The sequence below is a fragment of the Homo sapiens genome, chromosome 19 (assembly GCF_000001405.40).
Source record: "Homo sapiens chromosome 19, GRCh38.p14 Primary Assembly".
In the NCBI taxonomy this organism is placed as follows: domain Eukaryota; kingdom Metazoa; phylum Chordata; class Mammalia; order Primates; family Hominidae; genus Homo; species Homo sapiens.
The window spans coordinates 53,589,529-53,604,379 of record NC_000019.10 but is presented as its reverse complement, the minus strand read 5'-3'; the positions used below and the strand labels follow the sequence as shown (position 1 = coordinate 53,604,379).

The window sequence follows — 14,851 nt, the reverse complement described above, 5'->3', positions numbered from 1 at the left end:
TGAGGATTGATGGGGTTCCCAGCCCTCTTCTGCCTGCCTCCTGGCCCCTCGGTGCATTGCTACACATACAGGAGTGGGAGGAGTACAACAGCCCCTGCTTATCCACGGGGGACACGTTCCAAGACCCCCAGTACATGCCCGAAACCGCGGATAGTACCAGTCCCTATACATGATCATTTTCCCATCCATAACTCAGTTGCCTAATGTGACTTAACACGGCCGGTAGCGTTCACAGCATGGACACACTGGACAAAAGGATGATTTACATCCTGGGCATGGGCAGCGTGGAATGCCGCTACTTGAAGCTGCACACAATTGAAAACTTATCAATTACGGCGGGGCGCGGTGGCTCACGCCTGTAATCCCAGAACTTTGGGAGGCCGAGACAGGTGGCTCACTTGAGGTCAGGAGTTTGAGACCAGCCTGGCCAACATGGTGAAACCTGGTATGTCCTAAAAATAGAAAAATTAGCTGGGCGTGGTGGTGGTCTCCTGTAATCCCAGCTACTCAGGAGGCCGAGGCAGGAGATTGCTTGAACCTGGGAGGCGGGGGTGGTTGCAGTGAGCTGAGATTGTGCCACTGCAATCCAGCCTGGGTGACAGAGTGAGACTCCGTCTCAAAAAAAAAAAAAAAGAAAGAAAAGAAAAAAAGGAAAAAAAGAAAGAAAACTTACAAATTACTGCTGGACTTTTCCATTTACTATTTTTGGACTGTAGTGGATACGGGTAGATGAAACCTCAGATACGTGGGAGCTACCGTGGGTGTATTAGGCTCTCTGATGTTGGATGAACAGGGACCTGGGTTAATCTTGCCCTACTCTCTCTAATTCAGGTACCAGCCAGACGAGAATTTCAGCAAGAACGAGAAGCCGAAGGAGGAAGTAGTTGAGATGAATTCTGTACCCAAAGCAGAATCCCCAGCATGTGTTCCTGAAGCGTCCAGCACTCCGGCGAGTCTGTGGAGCCCTGTCAGCACCATCCCCACCCCGAGATGGGGCCGCATCGTCTATGGATGTGCCTTTCTGCTTGGTGAGCAGTGGCGTTTCTCCGCGGGGTGTTTTGAACCTGATAGCATGCGGCAGGGGGCCGAGTAGGGAGTGTGGGGCTTTGGTAGTTGAGAGGAGTTGTGAAGATGTGGTGGCCCTTCTTAGTAGGCGCACTTTTGGCCGGGCACAGTGGATTACACATGGAATCCCAGCACTTTGGGAGGCTGAGGCGGGACAACTGCTTGAGCCTGGGCAGTCGAGGCTTCAGTGAATCAAGACCACACCACTGCACTGTAGTCTGGGCAATGGGGCGAGATCCCATCTCAAAAAACAAACAAAAAGCCATATATATATATACACACACACACACATATATACACACACACACACATACATATACACACACAAATATATATATATAAAATTAAAAGTTTAGGCTGGGTGTGGTGGCTCACTTTAGAAGGCTGAGGCAAGTGGATCACTTGAGGTGAGGAGTTGAGACCAGCCTGGCCAACATGGTGAAACCCCATCTCTACTAAAAATACAAAAAATTAGGTCAGGCACAGTGGCTCACGCCTGTAATCCCAGCACTCTGGGAGGCCGGGTGCCGGGGGGGAGTGGATCACAAGGTCAGGAGTTCGAGATCAGCCTGGCCAACATGGTGAAACCCCATCTCTACTAAAAATACAAAAATTAGCCGAGCACGGTGGCAGACGCCTGTAATCCCAGCTACTCGGGGAGACTGAGGCAGGAGAATTATTTGAACCGGAGAGGCCGAGTTTCCAGTGAGCCAAGATCACGCCACTGCACTTCAGCCTGGGCAACAGAGAAAGACTTTTTCTCAAAAAAAAAAAAAAAATACAAAAAATTAGCTGGGTGTGGTGGCAGTTACCTGTAATCCCAGCTACTTGGGAGGCTGAGGCAGGAGAATCACTTGAACCCAGGAGGCAGAGGTTGCAGTGAGCCAAGATTGTGCCACTGCACTCCATCCTGGGCAACAAGAGTGAAACTGCATCTCAAAAAAAAAAAAAAAGTATTTGGGTGTGCTGACACGTGCCTGTAGTCCCTACTTGGGAGGCTGGCACACACACACACACACACACACACACACACACACACACACACACCCATACCCATATATATGGTTTGGGGGATAGGATGTGGCCCGAGATCTTCACTTATTTAGCTTCTGAAGTTGAACCTGTTCTCCCCAACCTTGACCCTTTTCCAGTTGTCCTGCTGTCCATGCTATGCCTGGTATTGGCCCATTGGCCCAAACGCCTGTTCTCTGGAGAGCTGATCTACATCGCAGCGGCTGTGTTGCTGCTGGTGCTCATTGTGGGATTCACTTTCACCGTCTGGAGACAGCCCCAGAGCAACACTCCTCTTTACTTCAAGGTAGGTGGCCTTATGTCCCCACACCACCCTCCTGAGTCAGTGGACTCTGCATGCCTCAAGCTCTAAATACTCTACGGGACCAGGGGTAAAAAGGGCAGTTGCGAAAAACCAATGGACTGTTCATGGACACCCCCTCCAGCCCCCACATATCAGTACTTCCCAAAACCTGTCTCTTCCAGAACACCCAATGGAATACCTACTCAGAACAGGCATTGAGCCAGGTGAGGTGGCTCACACCTGTAATCCCAGCACTTTGGGAGGCCAAGGCGGGTGGATCACTTGAGGCGAGGAGTTCGGGACCAGCCTGACCAACATGGTGAAATTCCGGTTCTACTAAAAATACAAAAATTAGCCGGGCATGGTGGTGTGTGCCGGTAATCCCAGCTACTCAGGAGGCTGAGGCAGGAGAATCGCTTGAACCCAGGAGGCGGATGTTGCATTCAGCTGAGATCGCGCCACTGCACTCCAGCCTGGGTGACACAGCAAGACTCTGTCTCAAAAAAAAAAAAAAAAGAATAGGCATTGAATATGCGACTGCAACAGAGCTGAGGCCTTCCCACCCCTTGGAATAAGGGTCCCTTGCAGACGTTCGTGGTGTGCTCACGGTTAACGCTTTGCCTGCAGGTCCCCCTGTTGCCTGTTCTCCTCTGGTCAGCATCTCTGCACATGTTTACCTGATGATGCAGATGACCACTGAGACCTGGGCCCAATGTGGAGTCTGGATGTTGATTGGTGAGTGGCTTCCTGGAAAAAAAGAGGCCTCTTGGGTGTCTGAGCCCAACACTCTTCCTGCGACCTTTCCCTATAGCTGTCTCAGGCTAACAGTGTGGGGTGTGCCTGTAGTCCCAGCTACTCAGGAGATGAAGGCAGGAGCATCGCTTGAGACCAGGAGCTCCAGACCAGCCTGGGCAACATGGCGAGACTCCACCTCTACCAAAATAAAAAACTGGCCGCACGCAGTGGCTCGCACCTATAATCCCAGCACTTCAGGGGGCCAAGGCAGGTGGGTCACCTAAGATCAGGAGCTCAAGAACAGCCTGGCCAACATGGTGAAACCCCATCTCTACTAAAAATACAAAAAAGTAGCCGGGCGTGGTGGCGGGCGCCTGTAATCCCACCTACTCAGGAGGCTGAGGCATGAGAATTGCTTGAACCCAGGAGGCAGAGTTTGCGGTGAGCCGAGATCATGCCATTGCACTCCAGCGCAGGCGACAGGAGCTGAGATTGTGCCACTGCACTCCAGCCTGGGTGACAGAGTGAGATGCTGTCTCAAAAAAAAAAAAAAAAAAAAAAAAAAATTAGCCAGGCACGGTGGCACCTGCCTGTAGTCACATCTATTCTGAAGGCTGAGGTGGGAGGATCGCTTGAACCCAGGAGGTCGAGGCTGCAGTGAGCCATGATCATGCCACTGCACTCCAGCCTGGGCAATGGAGCGAAGCTCTATTTCTAAATAAAAGAAACAAGAAAACCTCCAAATAAACAAACCACAGTATAATCGCTATAGGGCATTTATAAGGGAAGGGGTGACTACATTTCCTTTCATTGTCTCATTTCCCTGCTAGGATTTGCTATGTATTTTGGATATGGGATCCCACACAGCTTGGAGAACAATCAACAGCCACCAGCGTCAAGCTCCCAAACTCCTCATGAAAACATCCCTAGTCCCTTGCTGAATTAGTTTAACCACGGAAAAGGGATGGTCCAGTCCACTGGAGGTGTCCTCTGGATGAAGGGAAAGTGTGAAGCTCTGTGGAGCATGAAGGTGGGATACACTTAAAGCCCCTTGTGCATTGCCAGTGAGCAAACACTTTTTAAAAAACTTTATTTTGTTGTTTGTTTGTTTGTTTGTTTGTTTGTTTGTTATAGAGGTGAGGACTTGCTCTGTTGCCCAGGCGGAACTTGAACTCCTGGGCTCAAGTGATCCTCCTGCCTCAGTCTTCCAAGCAGCTGGGACTACAGGTACCCCATCATACCCAGCTTAACAAAATATCTTTATTTGATTTGATTTTTTTTCTTTTTGAGACAGAGTCTCGCTCTATTGCCCAGTCTGGAGTGCAGTGGCATGATCTTGGCTCACTGCAACCTCCGCCTCCCGGGTTCAAGTGATTCCCCTGTGTGAGCCTCCAGAGTAGCTGGAATTACAGGCACATGACACTGTGCCCAGCTAATTTTTCTTTATTAGTAGAGACCAGGTTTCACCATGTTGGCCAGGCTGGTCTTGAACTCCTGACCTCAAGTGATCCACCTGCCTCGGCCTCCCAAAGTGCTGAGATTACAGGCCTGAGCCACCGTGCCCAGCCAAAATAACTTTAAAAACTTACATTTTTAAAAATTGACAAATAAAAGTTGTCTATGTTTATGGTGTACAATTGCATATATTATATGTATTAAAATTGTGTATGTTTATGGTATACATGAAGCTTGGAAATATGTATACATTGTGGAATTGCTAAATCAGGTTGATTAACGTATTCATTACCTTACATACCTTTTTTTTTTTTGAGATGGAGTCTCCCTCTGTCGCCCAGACTGGAGTGCAGTAGTGTGATCTCAGCTCACTGCAACCTCCGCCTCCCAGGTTCAAGCAATTCTCCTGCCTCAGCCTCCTGAGTAGCTGGGATTACAGGTGTGCCCCACCATTCCCGGCTAATTTTTGTGTTTTTAGTAGAGACGGGGTTTCACCATGTCGGTCAGGCTGGTCTCGAATGCCTGACCTCATGATCTGCCCGCCTCGGCCTCCCAAAGTGCTGGGATTACAGGCGTGAGCCACCACACCCAGCCTTACGTGCCATTTTTTTTTTTTTTTGTGGTAAAAACATTTAAAATGGCCGGGTGCGGTGGCTCATGCCTGTAATCCCAGCACTTTGGGAGGCCAAGGCAGGTGGATCATCTGAGGTCAGGAGTTCAAGACCAGTCTGGCCAACGTGGCGAAACCCTGTCTCTACTAAAAATACAAAAAATTAGCTGGGGCGCAGTGGCAGGTGCCTGTAATCCCAGCTACTCGGGAGACTGAGGCTTGAACCCAGAGGCAGAGGTTGCAGTGAGCTGAGATTGCACCATTGCACTCCAGCTTGGGCAACAAGAGTGAAATTCATCTCAAAAAAAAAAAAAAATAGCCAGGTGCGGTCTGGAACTCCCGGCCTCAAGTGATCCTCTTGCCTCAGCCTCCCGAGTAGCTGGGAATACAGGCATGCGCTACCACACCAGGGTAATTTTTGTATTTACAGTAGAGATGGAGTTTCACCTTGTTGCCGAGGCTGGTCTTGAACTCCTGAGCTGAAGCCATCCTCCTGCCTCTGGCCTCTAAAAGTGCTGGGATTCCAGGCGTGAGCCAGCGTGCCCGGCCATCATGTTTACTTCAAACAGATTTTCTCTGGCGTCTTCTAGGACACTTGTATCTGATCTTTACTGAAAGTCACATTCTTAGCAAGACTTAACCTTACATCCTGAGTAAAATTGCGAATTCCACAGATGCCCTCAATCTTTCCTGACCTCGGCTCCTCTTCTGTTTCCCGGCATGGCTTGAAGCGCAACGGCATTCTACCTGTTTACTCAGGATGTGTCTTACCATTAAAGTCCCTGCCTGCAGAGCAGTTGGCTTGATTTCACCTAAGACTTTTGTCAAAATACTTAACTCTCTCATTTTGTGTCCTTATTTAAAGTTTCAGTTGTCTAGTTCACTTGCTACATTATAGCTGAATGACTGTCAGTCCAGTCTGGCAAAAGAGAGAAGGTAGATTGTTCCTCCGATATCCTCATGAGTTTTGCCACATACTGCATAGAAAGTCTGATCAGTGTAATTTTTACTAAGGAGATCCTGAGGATATAACAGGAAGTTCCTTGGGTAAATGACAATGTCCATGTATCTACATCATGGAAGAAAGTTAAATTAATGCTATAAAAATGGTGTGGCCGGGCACGGTGGCTCACACCTGTAATCCCAGCACTTTGGGAGACTGAGGTGGGTGAATCATGAGGTCAGGAGTTCAAGACCAGCCTGGCTAAGATGGTGAAACCCCGTCTGTACTAAAAATACAAAAATTAGTCTGGCATGATGGCAGGCGCCTGTAATCCCAGCTACTCAGGAGGCTGAGGCAGAGAATTGCTTGAACCCAGGAGGTGGAGGTTGCAGTGAGCTGAAATTGCACCACTGCACTCCAGCCTGGGTGACAGAGCTAGATTCTGTCTCAAAAACAAAAAACAAAAAACAAAAAGCAGTGTAATAAGTGGAAATGTTGACTCAAAGAATAGACATTAAGAGATTTTTGGCCTGGCACGGTGGCTCACGCCTATAGTTCCAGCCCTGGAGGCCGAGGCGGGCGGATCACCTGAAGTCAGGAGTTGCAGACCAGCCTGGCCAACATGGCGAAAATCCGTCTCTACTAAAATCACAAAAATTAGTTGGGCATGGTGGTACACGCCTGTAATCCCAGCTACTCAGGAGGCTGAGACAGGAGAATCGCTTAAACCCAGGAGGTAGAGGTTGCATTGAGCCGAGATTGCACCACTGTACTCCAGCTTGGGTGACAGAGCGAGACTCTGTCTCAAGAATAAAAGATTTTGAAAAATACTGCCACATTTGTATCTAGAACTGGTGCTGTCCAAACAAATACAATGAGAGCAAGTATGTAATTTCTTTTTTTTTTTTTTTTTTTGAGACAGTCTTGCTCTTGCCCAGGCTGGAATGCAGTGGCGCAATCTTGGCTCACTGCAACCTCTGCCTCCTGGGCTCAAAGGGGTCTCCTGGCTCAGCCTCCGGAATAGCTGGAATTACAGGCATGCACCACCACGCCCGGCTAATTTTTGTATTTTTTAGTTTCAACATGTTGGCCAGGTTGCCCTCAGGCGACCTGCCCGCCTCAGCTTCCTAAAGTGCTGGAATTACAGGCCTGAGCCACCGCGCCCGGCCAAGTATGTAATTTTAATATTTCTAGTAGCCACATTAAAAAAGCAAAGATAGGCCGGGCGCGGTGGCTCACGCCTGTAATCCAAGCACTTTGGGAGGCCGAGGCGGGCGAATCACGAGTTCAGGAGATCAAGACCATCCTGGCTAACACGGTGAAACTAAAATACAAAAACAAAATTAGCCGGGCATGGTGGCAGGCACCTGTAGTCCCAGCTACTCCAGAGGCTGAGGCGGGAGAATGGCGTGAACCCAGGAGGCAGAACTTGCAGTGAGCCGAGATCGCGCCACTGCACTCCAGCCTGGGTGACAGAGTGAGACTCTTCTCAAAAAAAAAGCAAAAATAACTTGAAATTCTAACCCAAAATACCCACATTCTAATACCCAAAATATTAACATTAATCAATAGAAAACATTAACATATAATCATTATAAAAATAAAATATTAACTTAATATAAAATATACAAATAAAATAAAGTATGAAAATATTTTACTATTAACAAATGTGATTGTGGGTTGCAGTTCATGATGGCTGGTGGACGCAGCTAGTGTGCGCTGCTTTTTTATTATTATTATTATTATACTTTAAGTTTTAGGGTACATGTGCACAATGTGCAGGTTAGTTACATATGTATACATGTGCCATACTGGTGCGCTGCACCCACTAACTCGTCATCTAGCATTAGGTATCTCTCCCAATGCTATCCCTCCCCCCTCCCCCCAGTGCGCTGCTTTCATGGAGAGGAAACAGGGTAACTGCCCGGTCTTCAAGGGCATAGACCAGAACACCATGCTGGGATTCACCAGGGCTGCGGTGGGACTTGGAGAACAGGCAAGGTTGGGCAGCTGCCCTCCTGGGATTGCAGCGGAGTTGGGGGAAGCTCCCTGATGCAGAGAAAGGGTAAGAGTGAGAGTCCCTGGGGGTCCCACACTTTTTTTTCCTTTGAAATGGAGTCTCACTCTTGTCGTCCAGGCTGGAGTGCAGTGGTGTGATCTTGGCTCACAGCAGCCTCTGCCTCCCGGATTCAAGCGATTCTCCTGCCTCAGCCTCCCGAGTAGCTGAGATTACAGGCGCTCGCCACCACGCCCGGGTAATCTTTTGTATTTTTAGTGAAGGGGGTTTCGCCACGTTGGCCAGGATGGTCTTGAACTCCTGACCTCGGGTGATCCACCTGCCTTGGCCTCCCAAAGTGCTGGGATTGCAGATGTGAGCCACCATGCCCGGCCAGGGACCCACACTTCTAACACAATCCTTTGCAATCCTGGGCGGAGAAGAGCCCCCCTGACCCCCTGAGCTTCCAGAGCAACATGGAGGCAGCCTGGAGTCTCCGCAGAGCACCGTTCAAGCCCGTGCGGAGCCCCACAGGCCTTGGATCCCTGCACACCCCATGAGCACCCTGTTGTCAGCTGCCACAGCCCCAGCAACAAGGAAGGCCAGGCTCTTTGTCCGCCTGCTAGTGAAGCCGCCTGTACGAAAGTTCTGTCAGTGAGAAAATGCGAATAGTAAACTAAGCTAACTCACCCTCAATTAATCCTGGGCTGTTGGGCCAAGCTAATTTTGGAAGACATTTAGGCTACAGTTTAAATGATAATAGGCTTTACTGCAAACTCAACTGCTTTTGTAAAGCTAATAGGAGCCCATCAGGCTGAGGCAGTGAAAGGAACCTGAATCCAGCTAAGGCGCTGACGTTCCAGAAGTTGTAAGATAAACAGCTTCCCCAGTTGGTTTTTGAGATACCTTTCCAGGTTTTTTGCATGTCTGACACCCTCGGCTGCACCTGGACCAACAATGCCGCTCCGGTGGCCCCACTTAAATGCGAATTGGCCCCCAGGAGGCCTAGGAGTTCATCTCTGCCCCAACCAATCAGTAGCAAGCATCTGTAACCTGGGGACCCCCCCCCCAACCCCTTCCAAGTTGCCTTTGATTTTACTTCCTCCAAACTGCCTTTGAAAACCTAACCTGTGAGCCTTGGATGGTTTGAGTATGAACTCCATCTCCCACGTGGCATGACCGGCCTCGTGTCTGTCAAACTCTTTCTCTCCTGCCATGCCCTGGTCTGTCTTTATGCAGAGGGTGGAAAGGACCCCTGGCGAAGTTACACTAGGATCGCACTGAGGAGGGGATGGATGGGCTTCAGGCCTTGCCTCCGCTGCTCCTTGCCAGGCCAGGCTGACCGGCTTGGGCCCCCAGCACAGCTGACCCACCCTGGCCTCAGCACCCTGGTCGGTGGCCTCCACATTCCTCTGGCAGGAAACTCCCAGAGGTAACTGACAGGCCCTCCGTGGTGGCTGCCACTGCGGTCCTGCCACTGCTGCCCTCAGGCTGGGGCCCCAACTTTCCCATGGCTCCAGACTGTCTACCACAGGCTCCCTGCCCAGAGGGGCTTGCCACCTCCTGGCTTCCGGTGCCCACCCCCACACTCCCCAGGTGTTTCAGCTGTGACCCAGAGAGTGCCCGTCTGCCAACCCTATCCGACAGGCCTGGGATCACCCCCCAGGCTCCCACCGCCGGAGTACTCTGCCTGCACCCGCTGGAGAGTTGGCCAGTGAGCAGGGGACCAGCCCGTACCCCACCATCAGAGTCAGCACTGGACGCTGCTCTAGCCCCACCTCCATTCCAGTCCCAATGGGACTCACTCATCCATGCATTCCAGTGGGCCATCTAGGGCTCAGGGAATTGGGGTACTGCCCACCCCATTCCAGCACTGCTGGTACCCGACCACTTCCCTCAGGGCCTGAGGTTGGGCCCAGCCAGCTGGCCACCACCACAACACACACCTGCACAGCCCCAGAGGTGGTGCCCCTCTTACATGAAGCAGCAGTGCCACCATATGAGAGGCCAGGTGAGCCCTAAATCTCCCTGGACCAGGCTGAGTGACCATGTGCAGCTCCAAAACCACTCCATAGAGAGCCACGAAACAGGCGTTTCCCGAGGCTCTCCACCACACTGTGGTCCTGGGAAACAGTGCAGTGTGCTGGCTGGGTGATGTGGCCCATGCCTGTAATCCTAGCCCTTTGGGAGCCACAAGGTGGGTGGATCACTTGAGGTCAGAAGTTCGAGACCAGCCTGGCCAACATGGTGAAACCCTGTCTCGACTAAAAATACAAAAATTAGCCAGGTGTGGTGGTATGTACCTGTAATCCCAGCTGCTCGGGAGGCTGAGGCAGGATAATCACTTGAATCCCGAAGGCGGAGGTTGCAGTGAGCCGAAGTCGTGCCACCGTACTCAAGTCTGGGTGACGGAGCGAGACTCCATCTCAAAAAAAAAAAAAAAAAAAAAAAAAAAAGCAGTACAGTGGCCAGGCTTGGTGGCTCACGCCTGTAATCGCAGGACTTTGGAAGGCCGAGGCGAGTGGATCACCTGAGGTCAGGAGTTCAAGACCAGCCTGGCTGAAACCCTGTCTCTACTAAAAATACAAAAATTAGCCGGGCGTGGTGGTTGGCACCTGTAATCCCAGCTACTTGGGAGGCCGAGGCACGAAAATTGATTGAACCTGGGAGGCGGAGGTTGCAGTGAGCTGAGATCATGCCACTGCACTCCAGCCTGGGCGACAGGAGAAGACTATCTCAAAAAAAAAGAAGAAAGGAGTACAGTGTGCATCTGAACTAGGAGCCACGAACCCCACGATAGGGGTGTGACAGGGACACGATTCACGTTCCTGCCAATCTAGATGAGGAGCCGGTGCAATATCCTCACCCCTCAGCCCTACACAGAGGCCTCAGCGCATTTCACCTGGAGCTCCTCTCAGCCACCCTCATCGGCCTGGTGCCTGCCTTCATCATTGGGGTATTCCTGTGCAAGCTATGGGCTCCAGCTCTGCCCAGCCGTGTCCCCCACCCCAGGGAACAGGAAGCTCATGGCACCGGGCACTCCATGCTCCAGCCCATGACCTGAAACAACAGACAGTACCTCCCAGGAAACCAAGATCAGGTACATGCCCACCTGCTTCTGCTGCCGGCAACTTTCAGCCCGAAGTGCCATCTCCTGGCCTGTAGGTTGAACTGCACAGTCCAATATAAAACCTGCCAGGCCGGGCGCGGTGGCTCACGCCTGTAATCCCAGCACTTTGGGAGGCCGAGGCGGGCGGATCACCAGGTCAGGAGATCTAGACCATCCTGGCTAACACGGTGAAATCCCGTCTCTACTAAAAATACAAAAAATTAACCGGGCATGGTGGCGGGCGCCTGTAGTCCCAGCTACTCAGGAGGCTGAGGCAGGAGAATGGCGTGAACCCGGGAGGTGGAGCTTGCAGTAAGCTGAGATCATGCCACTGCACTCCAGCCTGGGTGGCAGAGCGAGACTCTGTCTCAAAACAAAACAAAACAAAACAAAACAAAACAAAACAAAACCTGCCAAAGACCAGGCACAGTGGCTCACGCCTGTAATCTTTGCACTTTGGTAGGCTGAGGCAGGCAGATCACTTGAGGTCAGGAGTTTGAGACCAGCCTGGCCAACATGGTGAAACCCTGTCTCTACTAAAAATACAAAAATTAGCCAGGCATGGTGGTGCACGCCTGTAATCCCAGCTACTCGGGAGGCTGAGGCAGGAGAATCGCTTGAACCCGGGACGTGGAGGTTGCAGTGAGCCGAGATGGTGCCATTGTACTCCAGCGTGTGCGATGGGAGCAAGACTTCATCTCTAAATAAATAAATAAATAAAACCTGCCAAAAAAAAACTGCATAAGCCTATAGAAACAAGGCCAAAAAGCCTACCCAACATTCTATGCAATCACACTCCCTAGGGAGTAGGGGAAAGGGGAGGCGGACAATAATAATGTAGGGAAAGAAAAAGAAAAAGTTTCTATCCACATGAAAATAATTACAGAAATTAGAAGGGCCAGAGTTTCTAGATGAGAAGGAACCAGTGTTAAGAATTCTGGCACCTGGCCGGCTGCAGTGGCTCACTCCCATAATCCCAGCACTTTGGGAGGCCGAGGTGGGTGGATCACCTGAGATCAGGAGTTCGAGACCAGCCTGGCCAACATGGTGAAACCCTGTCTCTACTAAAAATACAAAAATAAGCCAAGCATGGTGGCAGGCACCTGTAATCCCAGCTACTTGGGAGGCTAAGGCAGGAGAATTGCTTGAATCCGGGAGGTTGAAGTTGCAGTGAGCTGAGATTGTGCCACAGTCTGGGCGACAGAGCGAGACTCCATCTTAAAAAAAAAAAAAAACCCAACATCCCTTTATGATAAAAACCCTCAACAAACTTGGCATTGAAGGAACATACCTCAAAATAGTAAGAGCCGTCTATAGCAAACACACAGCCAACATCGTACTGAATGGGCAAAAGCTGGAAGCATTCCCCTTAAGAACAGGCAAAAGACAAAGCTGCCCACTCACACCACTTTTGTTCCCCATAGTACTGGAAGTCCTAGTCGGAGCAATCAGGCAAGAGAAAGGAAGAAAAGGCATCCCAAAAGGGAATGGAATGAAGAAGTCAAGTTATCCCTCTTCACGGATGATATAATTCTATACCTAGAAAACTCTGAAGACTCTGCCAAATGGCTCCTAGAACTGATCAACTTCAGTAAAATTTCAGGATATGAAATCAATGTATGAAAATCAGTAGTATTTCTATACACCAATAATGTTCAAGCTGAGAGTCAAATCAAGAACGGAATCCCATTTACAATAGCCACACACACACACACAAACACACACAAATACCTAGGAACAGATCTAACCAAGGAACTGGAAGGTCTCTACAAGGAGAACTACAAAACACTGCTGAAAGAGGCCAGGTGCAGTGGCTCATGCCTGTAACCCCAGGACTTTGGGAGGCTGAGGCAGGTGGATCACTTGAGGTCAGGAGTTCGAGACCAGCCTGGCTAACATGGTGAAACGCTGTCTCTACTAAAAATACAAAAATTAGCTCGGCGTGGTGCTGTGCACCTGTAGTCCCAGCTGCTCGGGAAGCTGAGGCAGGAGAATCACTTGAACCTGTGAGGCGGAGGTTGCAATGAACTGAGATTGCACCACTGCACTCCAGCCTGGGTGACATAGTGAGACTCTGTCTCAAAAAACAAACAAAACACTGCTGAAAGAAATCCTTGACACAAACAAATGAAAAAACTTTCCTTGCTCATGGATTGGCAGAATCAATATTGTTAAAAAGACCACATTGCCAGGCAAGGTGGCTCACGCCTGTAATCCCAGCACTTTGGGAGGCCGAGGCGGGTGGATCACGAGATCAGGAGTTGGAGACCAGCCTGACCAACATGGTGAAACCTTGTCTCTACTAAAAATACAAAAATTAGCCGGGCGTGGTAGCAGGCGCCTGTAATCCCAGCTACTTGGGAGGCTGAGGCAGGAGAATCACTTGAACCTGGGAGGCGGAGGTTGCAGTGAGCTGAGATCGTGCCCTTGCACTCCAGCCTGGGCGACAGAGTGAGACTCCATCTCCAAAACAAAAGGCCATATTAGGATAAATGCTTGAGGTGATGAATATCCCATTACACTGATGTGATTATTGTACATTGTGTGTCTGTTTCAAAATATTTCATGTAACCCGTAAATACATACACCTACTATGTACCCCCAATTTTAATAATTAAAATAATTTTTAAGTGGCCATATTACCCAAAGCAATCTAGAATCATCAAACTACCAATATTATTTTTCACAGAATTATAAAAAATGATTGTAGGCCAGGCGCGGTGGCTCATGCCTGTAATCCCAGCACTTTGGGAGGCCGAGGCGGGCGGATCACCTTAGGCCAGGAGTTTGAGACCAGCGTAGCCAACGTGGCGAAACCCCTTCTCCACTAAAAATACAAAAATTAGCCAGGTGTGGTGGTACGTGCTTGTAATCTCAGCTACTCGAGAGCCTAAGGCAGGGGAATTGCCTGAACCTGGGAGGCAGAGGTTGCAGTAAACTGACATTACGCCACTGCACTCCGGCCTGGGTGACAGAGTGAGACTGTCCCAAAAAAAAAAAAAAAAAAACTATTGTAAAAGTCATATGGAGCCTAAAATGAGCCCAATGGCCAAAGCAATCTTAAGCCAAAAGAACAAAACTGGAGGCATGACATTCCAGCTTCAAACTGTACAAGGAAACAGTAACTAGGAGCTTCCTGATAGCTGAAGACTTGGATGCCTCCTGGAGGGTAGTGTGCCGAGGGAGGGCGCGGAAACTCCTCACCCCTTCTCCCATACCTCGTCCTATGCATCTCTTCGTCTGTGTCCTTTGTAATGTCCTTTATAATAAGCCAGTAAATGTAAAACAAAAGAAGTATACAGTAACCAAAACACCATGTTACTGGTACAAAAAGACACATAGGCCAGGCACAGTGGCTCACGCCTGTGATCCCAGCACTTTGGGAGGCCAAAGTGGGCAGATCATTGGAGGTCAGGAGTTTCAGACCAGCCTGGCCAACATGGTGAAACCCCATCTCTACTAAAAGCACAAAAATTACCTGGGCGTGATGGTGCATGCCTGTAATCCCAGCTATTTGGCAGGCTGAGGCAGGAGAATTGCTTGAACCCGGGAGGCAGAGGTTACAGTGAGCTGATATTGCGCCATTGCACTCCAGCCTGGGTGACAGGGTGAGACTGTCTCTC

General features: G+C 50.0%; 1 protein-coding gene and 1 pseudogene across 3 annotated transcripts in view, besides 2 other annotated features; one reads left to right on the top strand and one right to left on the bottom strand.

Annotated features, from left to right (window-relative positions):
- DPRX (divergent-paired related homeobox) overlaps positions 1-3,266 on the bottom strand; it is a 35,901-nt gene extending 32,635 nt beyond the window's left edge. Inside the window, exon 1 of one of the 2 annotated variants that reach the window (XM_047438893.1) lies at positions 2,988-3,266. The gene's annotated coding sequence lies outside the window, so the exon portion shown is untranslated. The remainder of the gene's footprint in view (positions 1-2,987) is intronic. The other variant, XM_011527011.4, reaches the window with a different exon arrangement.
- On the top strand, positions 883-4,749 carry LOC284379 (solute carrier family 7 member 3 pseudogene; annotated as a pseudogene). The gene is made up of 4 exons (NR_002938.3): positions 883-1,028; positions 2,217-2,383; positions 3,008-3,115; positions 3,946-4,749. The product of NR_002938.3 is annotated as a solute carrier family 7 member 3 pseudogene (transcript).
- Positions 7,830-8,759: an enhancer, noted in NCBI's record as "OCT4-NANOG-H3K27ac-H3K4me1 hESC enhancer chr19:54098875-54099804 (GRCh37/hg19 assembly coordinates)". NCBI's record gives its function as "activates a minimal SCP1, AML or CMV promoter by ChIP-STARR-seq in primed H9 embryonic stem cells {active_cell/tissue: H9 hESC(primed)}" and the evidence as "EXISTENCE:reporter gene assay evidence [ECO:0000049][PMID:30033119]".
- Positions 8,760-9,691: an enhancer, noted in NCBI's record as "OCT4-NANOG-H3K27ac-H3K4me1 hESC enhancer chr19:54097943-54098874 (GRCh37/hg19 assembly coordinates)". NCBI's record gives its function as "activates a minimal SCP1, AML or CMV promoter by ChIP-STARR-seq in naive and primed H9 embryonic stem cells {active_cell/tissue: H9 hESC(naive and primed)}" and the evidence as "EXISTENCE:reporter gene assay evidence [ECO:0000049][PMID:30033119]".